The sequence below is a fragment of the Homo sapiens genome, chromosome 3, assembly GCF_000001405.40.
Source record: "Homo sapiens chromosome 3, GRCh38.p14 Primary Assembly".
NCBI classification, from domain to species: Eukaryota; Metazoa; Chordata; class Mammalia; order Primates; family Hominidae; genus Homo; species Homo sapiens.
In genome coordinates, this window is record NC_000003.12 from 180,721,892 (window position 1) to 180,746,195 (window position 24,304).

The 24,304-nt window shown below is 37.6% G+C and overlaps 1 long non-coding RNA gene and 1 pseudogene across 1 annotated transcript in view, besides 1 other annotated feature; both read right to left on the reverse strand.

The window, feature by feature from the left end:
- LOC101928882 (uncharacterized) overlaps nucleotides 1-24,304 on the reverse strand; it is a 162,590-nt gene that overhangs the window by 14,303 nt on the left and 123,983 nt on the right. The window contains exons 8-11 of the long non-coding RNA NR_109986.1: nucleotides 15,602-15,923; nucleotides 12,596-12,715; nucleotides 11,588-11,791; nucleotides 3,624-3,682 (exon numbers count right to left, since the gene is read on the reverse strand). This is a non-coding gene — a long non-coding RNA (uncharacterized LOC101928882). The remainder of the gene's footprint in view (nucleotides 1-3,623; nucleotides 3,683-11,587; nucleotides 11,792-12,595; nucleotides 12,716-15,601; nucleotides 15,924-24,304) is intronic.
- Nucleotides 14,514-14,812, reverse strand: RN7SL229P (RNA, 7SL, cytoplasmic 229, pseudogene; annotated as a pseudogene).
- Nucleotides 22,146-23,195: an enhancer, noted in NCBI's record as "VISTA enhancer hs655". NCBI's record gives its function as "enhancer in: nose[4/6]" and the evidence as "EXISTENCE:transgenic organism evidence [ECO:0001131][PMID:17130149]".

Here is a 24,304-nt window from a genome sequence, read left to right on the forward strand (position 1 = left end):
AATTTTATCTAAAACTTATGTCAGCTAGTATATGTAGATGTGGCTGAGAGATACAACCCTTAAAACAATATATTTGATTTAGACAATAGTGTGAGTTTAACATTTTCTTTCTTGTGGTTAGATTTGATTTTTTAAAAAAGAAATACATTTAGTGCAGGTGGGCACTAAATGACCAAATAGGGGTACACTTGGAGAGGAGTGGTAAGCCAAAATATCAGAGACAAAAAATGCCAGTGGTCTACTGTAGACTGCACTTGAGACAGCTCGCATTCATGGTCAAAACCCAAGATTATCACAAATTGTACTGAACCAGCTTTTGGAGAAATGTGAGTTGTGGGAACCACTGAGGGCTTGTGAGTTATTGAGCAACCTGGTCAAAAAATGAGAATGGAGAATAACCTGAGGCTGAAAAAGAAATAGAGAAATATGTGTAACAAATGGCAGCAGCCACCACATTCTTACTGAGCCACTGCAAGAGGGAAAAAAACGGATTCATTCTATACAGACGCTAAAGACAGGATAGTTCACCTTAACATTTCTATTGCTAGTTGTTTTATATATTTAACTTACAGAGTTTAATCATATGTCCCAACTAATAGATGAACAAAAATTGTCTCTAGGAGAAACAGCAATGTTTAATGGCCACTCTGAAATATCATGCATGTATAACCTCTACGGTTAGCAGTATCTATGATCTTTATCCAACATCTGGGAAAACATCCTTTTAAGTCACCATATTTTTAAAAGAAACTTAATTCAAGTTAGCAAATAGAATATACACAATAATACCAGGAGACTGGCAGATCAAAAGTGATAGGAGTATTTGTAATTCTTATCCATCTCAGAAAGTCAGAGGTGGCATGGAAAGACTCAGTCCTATCATTAGAGTTGAGTAAACCAGAATTTCATAGCAAGTCTTTGAGCCCATAACCATATTTCTTATTATATCTAAATTTATTCTTACTTTAAAAATGGAAATCTATGCAGTAGTTGAGAGAAGAGTAGTTCTTTTCACTTCATTGTTTTATATTATTTTTATCTGTCCTGTGCTTTCCATGGGTAAAAGAGTTAGTATCCAAGATAGCATCAGAGGGTGCCCCCATTTTTCCTACAACATTAAATTTCCTAATTCCTTTTCCCTGTTCTCATCATAAAATATTAAATCTCATATCCTGTAATATTCAGACAATTTCAGCTCAAACTGAGCAAAGAATTATTATGCGAGAGTTTGTTTCTATCCTCTAATTTAGGGAGGAGTCTAAATATTGATCTTCGAAAGACCTTTGGGAATGTTATGAAAATGGGTTACCATTTATTTTAGGAGGGCTCATTAAGGGTCTTATTTAAAATAAATAATCTCATCCTTTCAAAATCAGGGAATGAAAAAAATGTATATTTTTCTCAAAGTATGAATGCCACAAGGGTTTCTCACATTGATTCATTGCTTATAGATAAAAACAACTTAAGCTGATTTTTCTTGTGTGTAGAGTAAGTGTAAAATGTTCCACCAAAATAGGTAATGACATTTTTGTGTCCATAAATGTGCGTGTAAGTCCAATTATGTATTTGTTGTCATTTAAACATCACCACCATTATTGAAACAGAAGTGCCGGTACTAATTCTTGCTGTCACATTTTCCAAAAATGAAAATAAGGCTTTTAAGCAAAATGCTAAGGTTTTCAATGTGAATTATTCATTCTTTGCATGGCCTTAGCAGAACACTCTCAGCAAAATAGCTAAACAAAAGCCTACCAGGGTTCTGGTTTCTAATCTGGTTAAGAAATACATTATAGGATTTTTCTTTTAACTTCACAGTTAATGGAAAAGTTTTCCTTTCCTGAAACTCAGCAGAGTTCAAGAAGCCTTCTCTAACTACCACAGCCTCCGTCTAATTGAAGTACCATGAACAGACCTTGAAAACAGTGTCATTAGTCACACAGCTAAACAAACCACCTTTGATGGTACCAGCCAACCAATCAGAACCATTCCCCAGATGATCTTTGTGGGAATAGCAATCCATTAATAATAACTGAAGTAATGATCTTTCATGCCACCTTTCTTTCATGTAGGACCACTCCACTGGTAATCTCTTAGGGGAACTATTAGCTACTTCAGTGTCCTTCAGAGAGGGCACTCTGCCTGTTCCAACATTTATTTCCACTGTAACTATTTTTTCTCTCCCACAGAAGTGCCTTTTAGAAATTGAAATAATTCTCACTGTGATTCTAGCAGGTAGACAGGGGTAAAGAAAAGAATAAATGAGTGGCAGAATAAATGAATTAAGAAGGAAAACACCTTCTCCCCCACACCTAGCTCTGAATTTCAAAGTTATCAAAGATAAGTAACGCACTTAATTATTTTATCCCATAGTGGTTCATCATCACTATTCTTTGTCATTAAGGAAACTAAATCTATGTGTATCTAACTGGTTCATGCTAAATATAAATAAAGTTTTACATGATTTTTTTACCCCTGATCTTAATAGATATGAATATATGCTAGAAGAGTGAGGGTAGGAGAGAATAAAAATCTGAGGTAGTCCAAGCTGTACCCCCAGCTTCCTACAATACTGAGCTCCAAGTTGGGGTCTATGTATCATTTGATTTATCATGTTTAGTGCCTTGCCCTGCATAGGTACTCAATAAAGGTTTCATGAATAAAATTTCTCCCATGAACGGCAAATCAGGCAGAAATCAGCCATACTGCTGAATCTTCTACATTCTGCACATTAGCCGCCTTTGTCATTTTCAACATCGGCATGAACATTGCTATTACTTTATTTTGATCCTATGCTTCACGCTCTCAACCTTCATTCTCTTACAGGGTCTCCTTATATTTTCCAAAGTATAGTTAGATCAACTACCACAAACTCTTAGCAATAGAGGTGATAATTTGGTAAACATTTTCCATTAGCTAAACTGTACAGAATACCTCATATAGTGAAATCTTTAGCCCGCTAGTATGGTTTGACTCTGTGTCCCCACCCAAATCTCATCTTGAATTGTAATCCTCATGCATTGAACATGGGGCCTGATGGGAGGTGATTGAATCATGGGGGTGGACTTCCCTCTCACTGTTCTCATGATAGTGAGTGAGTTCTCACGAGACCTGATTGTTTAAAAGTGTGTAGTACTTCCCTCCTTTCTCTCTCTCTCTCCTGTCACCATGTGAACATGTACTTCCTTCCTCTTCCCCTTCCACCATGATTATAAGTTTCCTGAGGCCTCCCAGCCATGCTTCCTGTATAGCCTATGGAACTATAAGTCAATTAAACCTCTTTTCTTCATAAATTACCCAGCCTCAGGTAGTTCTTTATAGCAGTGTAGGAACAGATTAATACATCCACCCTTGCCCCCGAATCTGTTGACTTAAAATAAACTGATAAAAAAAAAAAACCTCCTCCAGCTTATAAAATATTTTAGCAGTTCCAAACTTTTCACATCACTAGCACATCTAACATGGTGAATAAATAACCAAAAGATGTTAAGAAAGTATCAGTGATTCATATTTTTATTCATTAAATGTATCCAAATGCAAACGCTGGATTGGGTAGTTGGTTTGTGCAATAGGATGAAAATTTGAGATAGTAACAAGATATCTTCCTTTCAGGAATCTGATTTTACCTTATGATTCTTCTCACTTGGTCAGAACTACACATTATTTCAGGAAAGGAGGAAAATACCTAAAAGAATGCAGAATACAAAGACATTTAGTTCTTGTTTTCTGATTGCCATAACAGGTTCTTACAACTCATTTTATAAAACATATTTATAATGAAAATTCTCAAACAAATACAAAAGCAGAGAAACTAATATAATTAGTTCCTATATATGTAGCACCCCATTTAACCATTAACTGAAAGCCAATCCTGATTTATCTATACCTACCTAACACTCCCCTTCTGTTGTGAAGTTTTAAAAGCAAATTCCAGACATCATATCATTTCACCCACAAATATTCAGCATATTTCTCCAAAAGACAAAGGGTTTTTGGACTCCCTCTTTCTACATCAATCTTTTTGTTGTACACGATGTATTAATCGGAAGAGGTTCATCTTTTAAATATGATCACAATATTCTTATCACACTTAAACATTAAACAATTCCTTAATATCATCAAATATGTAGGGAGGCACATTTCTCCAATGGCCTCATAATGAAACACAAAGCTTTTTATCTGTAAAATCTGAGATTAAAGAATTTCAAAAATCTAATCTTAAGGATCCAGGACATAGATTTTACCCATTAAAAAGTAATTAGGCCAGTGCAGTGGCTCATGCCTGTAATCCTAGCATCTGAGAGGCCAAGGCAGGAGGATCACTTGAGCCCAGGAGCCAGGAGTTTGAGACCAGCTAAGGCAATAAGCAAGACCCTGTCTAAAAAAAGAAGAAGAAGAAAAAAAACACAAACTACTACAAATGAGTAAGTAAGTAAGTTGGAAAGAGGGGAGGAGAGGAGATATACCGTCTCATTCCAAGGCTAAAGAGAGATTGTCATTCCAGAGGCTAAAGAGAGATTGTCCAGACTAGAGAAAGTAAAAGGGCGGGGGAAGAAAGCATCATGCTAGATGTTTACAATGGATTGGAGAATGAGTTCTCCCCCCAACTCTTGATGCCAAGATCCCAAAATCCTTGGTGAGTATATTGGTCTGCTTAGGCTGCCCTAACAAAATACTAGACTGCTTAAGCAACAGAAATTTATTTTCTCATAATTCTTGAGGCTGGGAAGTCTAAGATCAAGGTGCAGGTTGATTCAGGTTTTGGTGAGTTCTCTCTTCCTGCTTTGCAGACGGCTGCGTTTTCACTATGTCCTCATACAGAGAAGAGAGAGTGAATGAACTCTCTGCTGCCTCTTCTAAGAACATAACACTATCTGGCTGGACGTGGTGGCTCATGCCTGTAATCTCAGCACTTTGGGAGGCCAAGGCGGGAGGATCACCTGAGGTCAGCAGTTCGAGACCAGTCTGGCCAACAGGGCAAAACCCTGTCTCTACTAAAAATACAGAAAAAAAAAAAAATTTAGCAGGGCATGGTGGCAGGAGCCTGTAATCCCAGCTACTTGGGAGGCTCAGGCAGGAGAGTTGCTTGAACCTGGGAGAGAGAGGTTGTGGTGAGTTGAGATTGTGCCATTGCACTCCAGCCTGGGCAACAAGAGCAAAACTCCATCTCAAAAAAAATAATAATATAAAATAAAATAAAAACACTATCAGATCAAGACCCCACCCTTATGATTTCATTTAACCTTAATTACTTCCTTATTCCAAATAAAACCATACTAGCGTTTAGGGGTTCAGATTATGAATGTAGGAGTACGGGAGGGACACATACATTCAGTCCAAAATCATGGTGAGGGCCAAGTAAATCCAGGATTTAGATGCAAAGTTGAATTAACTAGGAGTTTAATTTCTGCCTCTTGGTGGCATGAGTACTAGAGATAGATATTAATTCAGCCTGTAGAAAAATAAAGTGTTTTGACACACCTGATTAGTAGACTGTAAAATTCATTCTTTTTTTTTTTTTTTGAGACGGAATCTCACTCTGTCACCCAGGCTGGAGTGCAGTGGTGTGATCTCAGCTCACTGCAAGCTCTGCCTCCCAGGTTCACGCCATTCTACTGCCTCAGCCTCCCAAGTAGCTGGGACTACAGGTACCTGCCACCACGCTTGGCTAATTTTTTTGTGTTTTTAGTAGAGATGGGGTTTCACGGTGTTAGCCAGGATGGTCTCAATCTCCTGACCTCATGATCTGCCTGCCTTGGCTTCCCAAAGTGCTGGGATTACAGGTGTGAGCCACCACGCCCAGCCTCTTTTTTGTTTTTGTTTTTGTTTTTTCTGAAACGGAGTCTCACTCTGTCACCCAGGCTGGAGTGCAGTGGTGCGATCTTGGATCACTGCAACCTCCATCTCCCAGGTTAAAGCGATTCTTGTGCCTCAGCCTCCCAAGTAACTGGGATTACAGGTGTGTGCCACCACACCTGGCTACTTTTTATATTTTTAGTAGAGATGGGGTTTTGTTATGTTGGCCAGGCTGGTCTTGAACTTCTGACCTCAAGTGATCTGCCCACCTTGGCCTCCCAAAGTCCTGGGATTATAGGTGTGAGGCACTATGCCCATGCCTGGCCATCTGTCAATTTATTCTTAATCCACTTGATGATTTGGTGACCTGCCCTGCATGGCTAGCCAGACTCTTGGAAGACATAAAATAATATCCAGTCACATCTCTCATCTGGAAAAGCTGTGTTCGTATCTGGTCCACCCAAATATAAGAACTATTACCCCTGAAAATTGTTTCTTTGGGCCCCACAAAAAAGAAAATTTCCAAATTCTCATTCCTGGAATTATTAGGTTTCCTGGTTTTAAGTTCCATATAATGCCACAATAACAGAAAAATAACAATAATAACGTAGCCATCTTGACAGGTCTAAGACACTGTTCTAGGCACTTTAGATGGGCTACCTCATTTTATTTTCATAAAAGTCCTTTAAGTAGCTGCTGTTATTCCCAATTTATAGATGAGAAAAACAAAGTCACACATCTAGTAAGTGGAAGAACAAAGAGATTGACTCTTCCACGTGTGTAACTCACTGGAGTCACACATTTAAACACTATTCTCTGAATCCTTTCCTTGATAATTAAAAAAAAAAAAAAGGCTTTTCAGGAATATGGTCTCCAGAAGTACCATTTCCTTGAAATTTTAACTCTTTACATTTTTATTTTGTATCATTAGTTTAAACTTCGAAGTATAGATTGAGAATAAAATGTGCTTAAAAATAAATTCTTTAAAATGCTAACCTGTATTAATGCTTTACTTGTTTTTAACTATAATAAGCTTTGCATTTATTATCAAACTGCTTTTGCAAGCTACAAGTATAGAATTTGACCTGGTATTCATGACTAGGGTTTCTGTAATTCCAAGTCAGAATTTTTTTTAAAGAAATTATGAGACAATGGCTGATAATGTTGAAAAAAAAATCCATATTTACGGGAGATTTTTCAAGTGACTTACTATGATGTCTATTCATTGGAAGAAAGCTTTTGAAAAGACAAGTATATAAAGAAGTTATCCTACAGTGAACAGAACAAAGCCCATTAATGACAACGATGTGAACACTCAAGGAATTATTAAAAGAACTTTTCACTTTGAGGGAAAATTAATTTACCCAGAATTTAGTGCAATTGTTGAAATAAGAGAAACAGTTAGAAGGCAGCAGACCTTGTGGCCAAAGTTTTGCCTAAAGCCATAGCAGTTGGAAGGAATAAGTGCTCTGCTTGTTTCTTTTATATTTTGTCACTGGAGGCATACACATTAGTAGCTCCTAACATTATTTCTCTAACAGCATAGCTTTTTTTTTTTCCTGTCAGAACTTAATATAATTAATAGGCCTGGAGACTCATCTCTGTTTTATCTACACACACTTCAAAACTCCTATTTCTTGAATTTTTGGGAAAATAGCTTTAGCTTTATTTCATCTAATTCTACTTTTTTCTTTTTAAATATATTCTAATATATAGAGCCTTTCAGGTAAGAAGTAGTTGTTTACCAGGGACGCTTGTTCTGAAGCAGAGAGATGGCCTATCTGGCTGCCTTCACACTGAGTAGCCATTTTTGTCTAGGAAAGTCGATTCATACTTCTAATCTGATGTAGATTCTTCTCTCCCTAAACTAACCAATGAACCAGGAATAAGAGAAGAAATCAGAGAGGTTAGACAGGTCCCTTGGCCTCATATTTCATTTAATTCTCATTTTCTCTGTTTGTCAATCTATAGCTAAATTGAAACCTTCATCTCCACTGCTTCAGGAAAGAGAGACAGAAAAAAAAAAGTAGAAAAGCAAAGTAACTAGTTCTTGGTTTTTGAACTTCAGAGTGATCTGACCATATCCATTTAAATAACAATTTAAGATATGTTCTGGGATAATTCCCACATAAGATGCAACTCTAGTGAATGAGTTGAATAGTGTGTCTATGTTGTTTTTAGACCATAAACAGAGACAAGATGACACTTTGGACTACAGGGAAAGTTTCACACTGAGTGTCCGTGAGATTCATACTTCTCCTTGAAGGATGGTTGGTTTCAAATGAAAATAGATGGGCATTCCAATTCAAGAACCAGCCTAAGCAAGCAGCACAGGCAATGAACTTAAGACTCAGCAGTGACTATGTGAGGTCCCTAGAAGACTTACCTGAGAGAGAATCCATCAGGGTGACCACAAGCACATTAGATTCCCCTATGCATACAATATTAAGTGCTGACTTCTTCGTTTATGTCACTGTGTCATGGATGGAAAATGCTTCTCAATTACAGGGAGAATTTAATGTCATTGTTTTGAGAATTTACCCTTAGAGCTTCACCTCATAAAATGACAACATGCTCCCATCAAATAATATATGTGCTCCCTGCTGCTAGCTGAGGTTCTGTCCTCTAGGACTCTATTCTCCTGCATGCTTCTAAATCTTTGCATTGCAGTCAAGCCTTACTTTCTCAAGGATTGGTTAAACCATGTATTAGTCCATTTTCACACTGCTGATAAAGACATACCCGAGACTGGGTAATTTGTACAGGAAAAAGGGTTTAATGGACTTACAGTTCCACGTGGCTGGGGAGGCCTCACAATCATGGTGGAAGGCGAGGAGGAGCAAGTCATGTCTTACATGGATAGCAGCAGGCATAGAGAGAGCTTGTTCAGGGAAACTCCCATTTTTAAAACATCAGATCTTGTGAGACTTATTCACCACCACGAGAACAGCATGGGAAAAACCCGCCCTCGTGATTCAATTACCTCCCACCAGGTCCCCCCCACAACATGTGGGAATTCAAGATGAGATTTGGGTGGGAACACAGCCAAACCATATCAAACCATAACTTTATATGTGAAATCTTCCTGACATCTCCAATCCTAGAAGCACCATCCCTCATTCACTATTAAGTGGTATGCATAACTTAATTAATATTACCATATGGCTATATGCATCTTTTCACCTGTATTCCCTTCTGACTGCACTGTTGATCTTCCAGGATATAAACAATATCTTATGCATGTCTTTCAGTTCTTAGCTCCAAGCCCAGTGAGTGACATATGTTAAATACCCAATTTAAATTTATTTTTTGGGGAAAAGGGGTGGGAAGAATGAACTTTCCTTGTAAGTACCTAGGTAACCTCAATTAGGCAGGTCAGAAGCTGTGAAGGTAAATGTAAGAACAGAGAAAGGAAGCATAGAACTTGTTTTCCCAGACAAGCACTGCTATACTAAATTATAACTAAAGCATTCTGACTTTCAAGTCTTCTTTACTCTATTTTAGGGCTTCAGCCTCGAGGATCCCTGGTACCCTTCTGATGTCCTTGGTGGATGTGAGTTTCTCACCTGGACTTTCCTCCCCAGGCTGAATCCAATATCCCACACAGTTTTCTATTCCTTCCCTACAAACCCACATTCTATTCTCTGCATTAGCTTACTGCTGTCTGCTAGCAAATCTAAAACTTCCATGTGTAGAAATATGTGATTGTGTTCCCAATGTGTTCTGTAGACCGAAACCTCCTGAGATGTTACATGAAAAGATATTTCTCAATTAAATTTGGAAAATGTGGCTGGTACACTGGATCACGCCTATAGTCCCAGCACTTTGGGAAGCCAAGGCAGTGAATCACTTAAGGCCATGAGTTTGAGATCAGCCTGGACAACATGGTGAAATCCTGTCTCTACTAAAAATACAAAAATTAGCTGGGTGCAGTGGCGCACGCCTGTAACCCCAGCTACTTGGGAGGCTGAGGCAGGAGAATCGCATGAGCCCAGGAGCTAGAGGCTGCAGTGAGCCGAGATCACACCACCTGCACACACTGCCTGGGTGACAGATCAAGACTCTGTCTCAAAAAAACAAACAAAAAAAAATTGGTAAGAGTTTATACAAAACCTCCCTCTTATAGCCTCAAATGTGCATTAACATATTAAAGGCTCAGAGAAGTCTTGCACTAAGGGAACTTTGTTGATTTTGTTTAATATTTGACCATGAACCTTTTTTTTAAACTATCACCTCTTAAGGTCATACAGGACCCCTGTTCCACAGAACACACCACAGAAAACACTAGGTAAGGATTAGCAATTCAAAGTGGCTTATTTGGGTAGCAATAGGTGTTTTCTGAAGACACTAGTTTAACCAAAAGTCCTGCTGCTTTAGTAGAAATTTCAAGTGCCTACTTGCGATGGAACTTTTGGGTAGTCTCTGTAGAGCACTTCAGATCCTAACATGATGGAGGAATTTTTTACATGTTTATCAAGCGTTAAGCAATGTGCTATATGTGTTCACATATGTTCTTTCACTTAATCTGAAAAACAATCCTAGTTATATTTTTACCCACTTTAAAAATGAGGAAAGTGAGCTCAGAGGTTACATAGCTTGCCCAAGATCACACAGTTAGTAAGTGGTGAAGATGGCTCAAATCCAGCCCTTACAGCATTAAGTCTCATATCAAGCTCTTCATGCTACCTGAATTTCTAGGTCAGTATCTCTCAAAGCCTCATCCTAGGATGCTTGTCAAAAATTTAGATTCCTAGGATCTATCCTAGGTGTACTATATCAGAGTTTTAGGGATTGGATTAGGAACAGACGTGCTTAACAAGCTCCTCAATTGATTATTACATACTCAGAGAACCACAGTTCTTGGTGTATGTTATTTCTTACCACATTGTACTAACATCATCCAACTAATTAATAAACTAACATATTATAATATTGTACCTCACTCATATTACTCTACTGTCAAGTCCAACAAAATAAAGTCTCCATCCTACATTGTCCTCAAATGTTACCAGATAAGTCCCTTGAGTAAGGCAACTCACTATACCCTGAAAATGAATTAGACAACAAATGAATCTTCTTATGCATTGTTTTTGTTGGTGTTACAGGTGAAACCCACCACTTCTAGAGGTTATCTCAGTAAAATAATTCATGTCTCAGATGGCAAAAAATTGAGAGCAAAAAATATCCAATGAAAGGCAGGGTTTGAAATTAATCAAAAAAGCTCAGAAGGCTTTTGACTCTCCTCCTCTAAGAGTGATAAAAAGATTTTGCTTCTTCCTTTCAGCTGATGCCTTCTATATGTTACTATCTTCCTCTTCACTAATTCCCTAAACAAACCAGTTGTACTTTCTGTAAAATGGCCTCTCATAAAGAGCAAAAAAGCCAAGTAACTGTCTTTCTTTCCTTCTCTAGATTGTGTGAAATATTTTCTGCTGTACAGTGAGGTTCCCTAGACAAGAAATAGTGAAAAACAGCCAGAATGTATATAAAAGTGTGTGTGTGTGGTGGGGAATTAGAGAGTGAAGAAGAGGGAGAGAGAAAATGGAAAGGCCCTTTCCCCTTGTTTTTCGTTCCTTAGAAACCACCTCTGTTTTTATCTTGTGTTTCCAATTAATTATCATTGTTATAGACTTCACCTAATGCAACTGATATATCAGGGCTCTGTACTTGCATTTATGAGAAAATTAGTAAGGTTTAAAGTGAAGAAATAAGTCACCAAGGTAAAGAAGGGATATTAGAATAGTTGACATGTAGACAGAGACTAATAACTGTCTACTCTGACATTCATTCTCACCTTCTTCCTTATTAATAAAACTCCAGTGCTCAGCTGGACACATCACTGCCCAGAATACAGAATACAATCCCAGCCTTTCTTGCAGCTAGGTGTGAATATACACTTAAGTAATGGCTTTCGAAATGCAACTGGAAGAGATCTGCAGCAGCTTCTGGGAATCTCTTTTGCCCTCCATCTTACACATCTTCTCTTTATTCCCGCTGGCTGGAATGCAAACATGACTGGTGCTAGAACCGCCATTTTCAGAAATGAGGTAAGCTCAGAATGGCAAAGAAGAAAGAACAAAGGAGTTGGGGTCCCCAGTGACCATGGAGCCACCAGATCAACCCTGGACTCATTATCTCCAGAATAATTTTACTTGAAAAAGAAAGAAACTTTTAATCTTATGTCTTTATAACTTGGGCATGCCATCATATGCAGCCGACCCTATGCTGACACAGCCTCTATTCACTTGAGGACTGCAGACAGCATGACTCTAATCCTGAATTTGTTTTGATGTAAATAAAATAAAAGTGATTATATCAATAAGGATGCTTTTGTTTAAATATTTTAAATCCTAGTTATCTTAAGATGTTCAACTCACAGCTACAAAGCTGTGTGAGTCCATGATTCTTCAGTGAAATTACATGAAGGCCACAAGTGGTACAGGAGATTGCAACAAACTGCACATTTATACGTGACTTAGGCAACTTTTTCTCATATTGAGCAAAGTCTAAATTGCTCAATTTTAAGTTAAAACTAGGTGACTGTCATTTCTAAAGTTTCTATATCCTGACTTTTTCTTTTTCATTTTATTTATTTTTTAAATTCAAGTTTTATTTTAGATTCAGGGAGTACATGTGCAGGTTTGTTACATGAGTATATTGCTTGATGCTAAGGTTTGGGGTACAAATGATCGCCTATGCAGGTAGTGATCATAGTACCCAACAGTTAGTTTTTCAACCCTTTCCCCGCTCCCTCATGCTATAGTAATCCCCAATGTCTATTTCCTCATAGCAATGGTCATACCTGATCAACACTGAAAAGTTGGAAAACACAAATGTTTCTCCTTTCCCTTGTTTCTTCTCACCCTTTGTTTCTCCCAGGGGTACACAGCAAAGACAAGGAGAACGTCAAAATCTAGACGATCTAGGAAACCCAAGGGAAAAAAAGGATTGAGGTTTTCAAATGTGCTCGTCAATTGCTATAGACTGGGCAGTGGTGTGAAGAGAAGCAGTTGGCATGTCTGTATTTTCAGAGCAAGTCTCATAGTAGCACCTTCCTCTGTTGTTTTTCCTTAAGTTTTCCAGCTCTTTCTTCTTATGTAAATATATAAGTCCCACACCCCATTTCATGCTTTATTATTCCCAAATAGCAAATGCATTAGGCCCTTTGATTCATCTGTGGAGAATGCATTTTGAAGCAAAGCTTAATACCCTAAAATGGTTAGTTCATGGGGTTTTAATTTTAGGAATATCAGAAAAATATTAATTCATAGTCTTCAGTTGGCACAAAAACTCAACAGATCTCCTCATGGAAAATGCCCCCTCCTGTCCTTTGCTCAGAAGTGTGCAGGAGACTTAATGGAAATCAAAAGCCCTTGTAAGATGTGTGTGTTGCCCTGCTGGCTCCCTGGACCACGGTCTTGAAGAAAATTGTCTCCATAAGGGAAGCAAGTCTTCCTTGAGGTCTTTTGGTGGCCAGCCAAAAGAAACCTTATGCCATCTCTGGGTCTTTCAAAATGCTTTTATTAGAGACACAGTTTTAGTCCCATGGCCAAGGGAAGGCCTGAAGACCCCAAGTTTCTGCATTTTACTTTCTGCCCTGATTAGAACATCCTGATTAGTCAGATTATTTTGTAAAAATAGGATAGTCAGATCCACATCACAGAAATATTAACTTAAAATAGATAATGATTCATTAAAACTGCATAGTGCTAATGATAATTTGTAACTATTATTAACCAATGTGCAATTTTTCCCTCTATCTGCATAAGCATAACTTTTAAGCAACTAATCTTAGCAGAAAAAATAGTTTCATAGTAAAGGGATAGTTGGAAAATAATTACTGAAAAACAAAGCAAACCAAAAAACAGAAGGAATGTTACTGCTTCTCTAAATGTTCTCGATGTAAAATTAAATTAAATTTCACCAACAAAAATCCTAATAAACAAATTTGGGAGAAAAAACAGCAAACACTTTTAGTAAGTTAGATGTCTTTCAATTACTTTAAAAAATGTTTTCTATATGATCTTATCACTCAATATAATGCCCCACTTGGCTATCAACTATAGAAATAGGATTCCTTAAATGCTTCCTGGCAAAAATCAGGGCTCAGCCTGTTTTAGAACTCATCCTAAGGTTGGTCTAGGTAAGAGCAATTTGAAAGAACTAGTTCATTATCTTAAGTACTTAATGCTCTGACCTTGGACTCACTTTCTAGCAAATGCCCTTCTATCTTGTTTCTATAACCAGGCCTCTACTTAGAACCCCTGAGCTGGGCCCTGACTCCATGCGTTCTACTGTATTCTTGACTCCATACCCTGCTTGGTTCTCCCCAATTATCTGAGGCCCTGGAGGCTTGTTCCTGAATGTCAGCCTGGAGATCGGGGCCAGCCACCTGCTTCCTCTTTTGCCTCATGCTCCCACCTGAATCTCCATGTAGTTCCTAGTCTGGAAACCTCTGTTCGTCTTTGAGAACCTACCTCTTGCTGTACCACCTGATGTTGCTGTCTAATCAGACTATCACCTGTTTAAGTCTCCATTCTCTCTGAACATTGTGGCCCGTCCAGCTAGACTTTTTCCAAGTGCCTGAATCATTCCAAAGGCATATAGGCTTTCCAGATCCTCTCTGCCCTGCCTGGCCAAACTCTAAGCTATCCACCAACCTCCAGTCCTAGCATTGATTTCTTAAGTTTTATATTTTAATATTTATTTATTTATTTTCTAGGGATGGGGTCTTGCTACATTTCCCAGACTAAAGTACAGTGGCTATTCACAGGTGCAATCCCACTACTGATCAGTATGAAAGTTTTGACCCACTCTCCTTCTGACCTGAGCCATTTCACCCCGCCTGAGGCAACCTGATGGTCCCGCCTCCCAGTAGGTCACCATATTGATGCCTAACTTAGTGCATAGCACAGGATCAGCATAGCACACTGCAGCTCAGAACTCCTGGGCTCAAGAAATCCTCCCTCTTCAGCCTCCCGAGTAGCTGGGACTACAGGCACACACCATAACACCTGGCATATTTTAATTTTTTTTTTGTATATCTCTAGCAGTATTTCAAAGCTCTACCTGTTCTTATTTTATAAATTGCCACAAGTTATCTGTTCTTGGGGCTGAGTTATTAGGAGAGCCCCAAATATGGGAAAAGCAACAAAGGTGAATGAGGACAGAAAAGCTATGAGAGAGGTGCTGAGGAAAGGGAGCTGTACCAGGGTGACAGAGGAACAAGCAGGAGGCCAGAGGATTATGTTAACTGAAAGGAAAAGCTGAGATTCCAGAATGAGGCAGGCTTCTTGGGGCGAGAAGGGAGGCCAGGAGGAGAGATCTTTTGAATCGGAATGGAGTAGGAATCTGTCTCTTTCATTGCCTTAGAATCCTGGTAATGACAGACATTTCTACATTAGAGGCCAGGCACTTGATAGGAAGCTATGTAGAACTAATGGAGGTTTTATTGTTGTATTTGTTCCCTCAATGCCAATTTCCACTGCAAATTAGGTGTTTTTTCCCCCCATTTCACAGGTGAAAGTACATAGTCTCCAAAATGTAGATAAAAACTGGCAATGTTTGAAGAAATAATTACGTGACTTTCAATTTCTTCAGCTTCTAAGAAAAATAACCAGAAGTCAGAATAATGGTGGTTAGATCCAAACTCTAGTCCAATTCCTGTCTGATCTCATAGAAGCCGTTTAACCTCTCTGAGCCTGAACTTCTCCATCTATAAAAAAAATTAGTGCTAAAATATGTCTTACTGCACTGCAGAGTTCTTGTAAAGCTACAAAATAAAAGCCATCATTCATCAAATTCTTACCCTGGGCCAGACTTCAAACTCCCTGATTTAGGAATGTTAGCTCATCAATCCTCACGACAGTCCTGTAAGATAAAAATCCATTTTCCAGGTGGAAAAACCGAGGCTTCCAAAGGTTCAGCAATTTGCCGTTATAACTTTAATCTACACTTACCTGATTCCGAAGCCCTTTCTTTTAACTAGGTGCTAAACTGTGGGAAAGGATTAGCAACTGTAACTCATATGTAAGCACATGAAAGGAAATATTAATAAGAACCCTGTCTTCCCTGCAGCATGCCTTGCTTATGTGAATCAGGCAGTGGGCTTCTTGTCACCATTATTTTCACTGCAGAAGAAAAAACAAGACAACTGTTAAAAAAAATTAAACAATACAAAAGTATAAAGAGTAAAAACTTCATTGAATGCATAGAAGCAGAGAGTAGAATGGTGGTTTCCAGGGGCAGGGGAGGAGGAGAGAAGGGAGATGGGAACATGCTGGTCAAAGGATACAAATTTTCAGTTAGACAGGATGAATAAACTTTGAGCATGTATTATATAATATGGTGACTACAGTTAATAATAACTTATTGTAGACTTGAAAATTTCTCAGAGAATAGATTTTAAATGTTCTCATGACAAAAAAAAATAAGTATGTGAGGTGATGAACATGTTACTTAGTTTTATTTCACAATGTATACTACATATATCAAAGCATGTTGTTGTACATTGTAAATATATATGATTTTAGTTTGTCAATTATACCTTAATCTGGGAGAAACAGAAAAAACTCTCTCTCTCTCTCTCTCTCTCACACACACACACACACACACACACACATACTGCAACCTGCTAATCTCAATTTTGCTTTTCCACATACTACACATATACATACAAAGCATGGCTTTCACAAATACAATTACACTACATGTATTATTCTGAGATTTGCCTGTTTTTCACTCATCAGTGGCCCTCTTTCCATTTATAGATCTATCTCATTCTTATTAATGGCTGCATAGTGTGATGTATCATATTTATCATCCTAATATTGAGGAACTCTTAGTATGTTTCCAATTGTTATTATAAGAAATGTTATAATGAGCACCATTATATGTATACAGTCATGCACTGCATAACATTTCAGTGAACAGAACACATATGCAATTATGAGTATAATACTGTATGTTTACCATGCCTTTTCCATGTTTAGATACACAAATACCATTGTGTTAGAAATGCCTACAGTACTCAGTACGGTAACATGCTGTATCAGTTTGTAGCCTAGGAGAAATAGTCATATTTACCACATATGGCCTAGATATGCGGTAGGCTATATATCTGGGTTTGTGTACGTGTATTCTGTGATGTTTGCGTGATGCCAAATCACCTAGCAATGCATTTCTCAGAATGTATCTGCATCCTTAAGTCATGCATGACTGTATCTTTGGGTTCACATGCAAAGTATTTCTATAGAATTGTTTTTAGAAATGAATTACTGGGCCAGGTGGTTTGTACATTTTTAATTTTGATGAGTACTGCATGTTCTTACTTATGAATGGAAGCTAAATGGTGAGAACTTATGAGCACAAAGAAGGAAACACAGACACTGGGGTCTACTTGAGTGGGGAGAGTGAGAGGAGGGAGAGAAGCAGAAAAGATAACTATTGGGTACTGGGTTTAATACCTGGGTGATTAAATAAAATGTAAAACAAACCCCCATGACACATGTTTACCTATGTAACAAACCCTCACATGTACCCCCAAACCTAAAATAAAGGTTAAAAAATTAAATAAATAAATAATAGTATTATAAAAAAATTTTTGATGGGTATCACATCAATCTATATTTCACCAGAGTGTATGGGCGTATCCTTTTCTCCACATCTTCATGGATACTAGATATGAGCAGGCTTTTAAATTTCTGCTAGTTTGATGGATAGAAAATGGTAACTTGCTCTTACTTGCATTTCCCTGAGTGCTAGTGAGATTATGCATTTATGTTTACTGCCTAGTTTGATTTCATCTTCCAAGAATGAACTTCCTCTCCATATCCTTTGCTCAATTTTCTCTTGAAATATTTTTTCTTTTTATTGTTGGATTTATAGGAGAACTTACATATTGTGGCTATTACTCTTTTGAATATTGTATGAATTGCAGATATGTTCTTCCAGCCTCTTTTTTGTATTTTAACTTTTTAGAAATGGATCTTTATAGAAAAGATTTTTATTTGCATGTAAACTTGTCAATTCTTTCATTTATGATTTGGCAGTTTTATGTTTTGCTTAGAAATGTCTTCCCTAGTTATAGATCACAAAAAAAATTCTCTTGTATTTTCTTCTAGGATTTTTCTGGTGTTAACTTGGTAGCACTCTTTTTCATTTGTTTATTTGTTACATTAAATCATTAATCCTTCTGGACTTCCTTGTGAACAGTAAAGACGTAATTGCCTTTTTTTTTTTTTCCCAAATGGGCAATCAATAGTACATCTATTACACTGATTTAAAATGTGTTTTTATCATAAATACATTCCGATCTGTATATTGAACTTGTTCTAGACTTTGTATTCTGCTCCATTGATTGTTTTGTTTATTCCTGCATGAATACCCCTTTGCATTTTAGCATATCTTCACTAGCACATCTTCATAATATTCTTTGCTCCTGGTAAGGCAAATCTCCAAACATGTTGTCTTCCTAAATTTTCTTAGCTATTATAAGTAATAATGCCAAGGTGCCCATATACATCCTACATGCCCATTTAGTTTTGGAGCTTTGCCAAATTCATTTTTAAAATTGTGCTGCTTTTGATGAGAACATCATTAATGCATATCATGCCAAAACTGAAAAAAGAAAAAAAAACACGACTCTTTTGAATCTACCTAAAGTAGCAAATTCAAGCATTACATCATCATGGTAAAGTCATTTATATCCCTGATTGAGTGATCCAGAGAACTCCAGTCCTCTACATCTTTCCCCCTTTTCCCAATCATATGATAAGAGATAGATGTTTCCCAAATCTTGTTCCTTTGGAGAAGAAGAAAACTGATTAAAAATCCTGATTTTTCATACAAGATAATATAACACACTGGCCATATAATTTGGAACATTATTTAAAAATAATGATATATAATAGACATATTTAAGTAATTAGAGCCAGAGTAGTCCAGTGATTTAAATTATGGGCTTTAGAATCAGACAATTGAATTCAAATCCTAAATAGTGGTATTTAACTTCTCTGGAGACTTGATTTCCTCATCTACCTAAGGTTTAAATTGCCCACTTAATCATTTGTATGGATTAAAAATATTATGTACAAATCATTTACATATTGCATCACTTAGGAGGTACCTAATAAATTGTGATTGTTATTGCTAATAGGTTTTTCTGTTGTATATCTTGCATGCATATAGCAGTTTTTTCAAAGCGCTTTCATAGATCTTTTCTCTTCGTGTTCCTTTTACAGGTGAAATATGGGCAGAGGGACACTAAAAGGGAGGGCTGCTGGCAATTGTTCATTGCTATTGAAGGAAGCGAGGGTGAGCTTGAGAAAGCACTGTACACTGAGGAATCTCAAGGACTCAGCTTCCTTCTGCACCCCTAGTCAAGATCCGAGAGGCAGAGCTTCTGTGAGAGCATTTGAGTGCTAGAAATTTATAAGGTTTTTATAAGATTATCCACTTAAAATAGACCATATTTAATCCCATTTAGGATCTGGTTTAGATGAGCTTTTCTATATAACCATTGTGAATGAAAAGTACTATCAAAATTCTATCTTCCCCCTTACATTTGCACAAAATCAGTGGGAAATAAAGATGCATTTACATTTTGCACCATTTATTTGATCTTCCTTTTAGCCCAATAAGTTATATATTAAAAAATCCTCAGTGCGTCTAAATTGCTTACCTGCTAAATTAGCCAATTGCTTGCAATATGCAAACTTTTTTGTAGGTGCCACTTAGGAGTAAGACTAAACGGCCAGCTGATGCTTTCAGTTCAAGCAGTGAACAACTGTATTTTTTTAACATTGTAAAAAAAATTCATTTACTATCTATTTGCTAAGAATGACTTGCCTAGATATTTTCTTTGTACCTCTAGAGCATGGGTCAATGTGCTCTGGTACGTATGCAAGTTAGCATAGAATAACAAGGGCAATAAAAAAATAAACCTTGATTTGCTCATAATTAGGTTATTCTGGGACCGAGTCAGAGAATATGTCTTTTGGGGAGTGAGGTGCAAAAAACATGCTATGTGCCTTAATTATTGTGTATTTAAAAGTAGAGTATTACTTTCTGGGACTTAATGTCCAATAAGGATCCTTGTCTTTTGAGTCATAAGATTATATGAACACCGACATCAGATGGAAAAGGCAGAGTGAATAATACATATTTCAGAAGTTTGCAATATAGTATTGGAATTGCATTTGAATCTATAGATCATCTGCAATCATTTGTTTTGTAGATGACAATGTAATAAAAATACAATTTAAAGCCAATTCTTAAGTGAACAAAGCAATAACCATATTTAAATAAAAAAAGAACACTTTTTATAAAATTAATAAAAAGGTCACTTGGTACATGCATGACCATATATTTTTATATTTTGCATTTGCAAATAATGAAAGCTCACATGGGTTGTAATAATTGTTACTAGCTTTTAATATTGGGCAAAGCACAAATACAAAATGTACTTGAAGCTCAGCTTTAAGTAGATTATGAACATTTAATATAGAATGTTATCATAATATTCAGAGCACCAAATTGCAGACTTCTGTCACCCACTTTCAAGCATGCTTCTGAAGATCATAGTTAATTCTGCTGATTTATGGTAATGCTGCAGCATTATCGTCCACAGCATCAGAAACCACTAACAAGCTTAGTATAAGCTTGGGCTGAAATGGTTTGAGGTTTAAATTTCTGTAACGATTATAAAGTAGAAGGAATAAAATCCCACTTCAGCAAAAAAAAAAAAAAAAAAAAAGTACTGCATTTCGTCTCGGTATCACAACCATCCCCTACCTCCCAGTAGCCTTCCCCCACTGCATGAAAAAAAGTAACTTTTAATGGACTGGCATTTTAAATTTTCTACGTAGTATTTTCTAAATGGTAGTATTTCTAATTCAAATATATAATGCTCACAGTTTTTCCTTGGTGAGGAGAACTGCTCTAAAAGAGGTTTCCCCACCCCATCCTTCTAAAATGATTGCTCTTTTTAAAACAAATTCCCTTCTAGAAGCCCCTTTTTTGAACATTAATTTACATTACATTCACTCGTCTAGAAAATGGTTAGAAATCAGAACATTTTAATGGCCATTATCCTCATCTGGCCAAATGATTGTGTCGTACTTAATGTGTGGCCCTTAAGCAGATGAGGCCCACTTATTGTCTTCTTCCCCGCTGTTGAAGTCAAAAAAGGCTCCTGGCTTGAATTAGCACAGTTAAAAAAAAAAGGTGGGGGGAAGGACCGTCTACCAAGACTGCTCCCCAAAAGATGAGTGCCTCCTTGTCAGTGAACACAATGAACAAACACTGATGGAGGCAAAAGATTTGTGGCGTCTTGAAGATGAAAAATGCAGTAACATCAACACCATCCCTGCTGAGAGACAAAAGAGCAGCTACTCTTGTCACAAACTGATTTCCAAGAGAGTGAGCTAAAGGAACAATTCTGTGTCACACACTTGTGGCTGTAATCTCCTGCTTGGAATAGGACAGAAATAGATTCAACAAGAATTGCCTTCGTGTTTTCTACAAGAAAATCAACTCATGCCGCCCTTCAGATCTTTAGCAAATGTCTTTTTATGAAAAAGCAAACTCTTCCCTTTGGTTTTGGGGGAAATAGCCACAATTGAAAAACAAGGGAGTGGGGAAACATATGTTCCACAAAGGTGCTAACAGTCTGGGGTGGAGTGGGTTTGAGCTCAGGTCCACCATGAATCCGTCCTGAAAGAATCAGAGATGGTCCAGCGGCATGTACCTCCCCAAACTCTAATTTAAAATTCAACCCCCATATAAGCTGCCACTTAGGATACATGGATAACACATAGGTAAAGAAACAAGAATAATAATGTGTGTTGATTTATTGTTTATCTCCGCATTAAGCATTAAGGAATATTTCATGACACCCGTTCTTATTTGAGAGAAAAGACTGACCAAATTTTAATATCCCTTTAGGCAAAATCTAGTTCAGAAAAAACAACTGAGATTTCTAAAATTTTTCAGTCTATAAGGGTGAATGTTTTGTATTTGGCTGGAGGAGGTGTCTCTTCAGAGTCTACACAGAAAGCATTGAACCCTGGCGATGAGGACTAGCAGTTGATGGGGTGAAGGAGAGTGAAAGAATAGAAAGTTCAAGCACAGTTAGGTTGGTGAGGAACTAAGGAAGGAAGGAGGTGGAAGGGTTGGAGGGATTTGGTACACAGATGGCAAGGGTACCTAGGGGAACGGAGCCTTCGTGAATCCAAATGGGCTTACCAAGACAGAGCAGTGAGATCAGCCGGGGATTTTCAGTATAAAGTGGGTGACAGGTCAAAACAAACAAACCAAAAAAGCAAACCCACGACGGAAAGTAACTCGTAATTTCAGTCCTTTTAGAACCCAGAGCTAAGCGAGGAAACCACAGGTCTCCTAAAGATTCGGGATGGCTCATCTTCTGAAGTTCAAACACTGACTCCTCACTACGGCTTTCTTTTCAGGATGTCATTCTCCCGCCTCCACACTCACTACCAAACAAACATAGAAATCTACTACTGTTCTCCCCATGCACTCCATTTTCTTCCAATCTGAGAGCCATTTGTGTGTATAATTGAAAATTAGCAGTGCAGCTGTTTGAAGAGAGTAATTTATCACAGCGCATTGTTCGTGCCTGACACTTTAGACCTGGCTCTAACAAGCCAGTGGTTACTGGGGGTTGAGCTACAGAAAGTGATTCGGCTGTAATGCTGCGTTTCCCCTGCTTTGTTGCTAATTGTAGCCTCTTTTTCTCCATTGAATTGGGAGTTGAGTAAAAGAGCTTGTTTGCTCTGTGCGGTGAGGCTGCCAGGGCCGCTTGGGCTATTATCACAAGATACTCTTGATCTTTTGAAAAGCAGGAAATAGAATTTTTCTCCAACAGGGAAAGTAATTTGCGATGCGTCCATTAGTTCTTCATTAAAGCAAGATTAAATTGCACGGCAAATCACATCTGTGTTTGGATGATTAAAGGGTGGCATTTTAGAGGCCAAAACTAATTACTAGTCAAAATGAATGGGAGTGAAAAAACAGTCATGTTTTTACATTAGATAGTGTGGCTTGTAATTAGATTCAAGCTAATTCCACTATTTCTTCTCTTTTAATGAGATGAGCCTGTCCTCATCTTTTTCTAGGCCATGCTAACAGCCCCAAATGTATAATTTTGATAATCCTAAGAGTTTACTTTATTGAAATTTCTTTGCTACCTGCCACAAGTGACTGTTCTCTCCAGTGGTACTTCATTACATAGAAACACAAGCTACTCGGCAATGTAGTTTACAATATAAGTCATTCCTAGAGGAAAAAGAGTAATCTTAAATGAATATGTATAAATGTATATATGTAAGAATGTATATTTTTAAATGTTATTGAAATTAGCCATCTCCAGAAATTTGTGCTGAACAAATCCTTCTCAGTTGGGCAACTACAAGTATTTTTAGTAATGTGGAATAAGAGTAAGATATTTGCATGCAACAGAGTGTTGAAGTGTTCTAAATTCAGTGTGCATTGGGTGTTGGTTTTTTTTTTCCTTGCTTTGTGATATAATTTTTCCTCTTATCTTCAGGATGTTTTTACCTTTTCCTATGACTAAGGCATGTTATGATGGATTCCCTTCTAGGTTCGACTTTTCTTTTTATTAAAAACACACATTAGGCTGGGCATGGTGGCTCACACCTATAATCCCAGCACTTTGGGAGGCCGAAGGGGGTGGATCACAAGGTCAGGAGTTCCAGACCAACCTGGCCAAGATGGTGAAACCCCCATCTCTACTAAAAATACAAAAATTACCCGGGCATGGTGGCATGAGCCTGTAATCTCAGCTACTCGGGAGGCTGAGGCAAGAGAATTGCTTGAACCAGGGCGGCAAAGGTTATAGTGAGCCAAGATGGAGCCACTGCCACTCCAGCCTTGGTGACAGAGTGAGTTCCGTCTCAAAACAAACAAACAACAACAACAACAACAAAAACACATTAGAAATTAAAAGCATTGCATTAAGAAAAAGAAACAAAATCTGAGACTCTTTAAGGAATCCTTCTGATATTTCTCAAAAGTAGATTAAATTTGCTCTCAGAAGTCTGTTTTCAGTTTTTGATGGTGGGAAATGGTAATTTCTGAAGAAAACTACAGATCATATTTAGATAAGTTATTGAAGGAAAGAGAGGAGTAGACAGGCATTTACTCTGAACTAGGTGCTCTTGGACATATTGCCTTATTAGAAACATCTTAGAAGGACAAGAATCCATTTGGTTTCCGAGACATGGTATTTGAATACACCAGCTTTAGTGACCTTGGTAAAGTAGACAACACAGTTTTGCCTTTCAAGAAATTAACTGGACTTTGACATCAGAATTCCCAAATCCTGAAATCGTGCCACTGCACTCCAGCCTGGGTGACAGAGCAAGACTATGTCTTAAAACAAAACAAAACAAAATTCCCAAATCTCTCATAATGAAGGCATTATTTTAACAATACTCTTTGTGGAAAATTTTCCATTGCATCTTCAAAGATT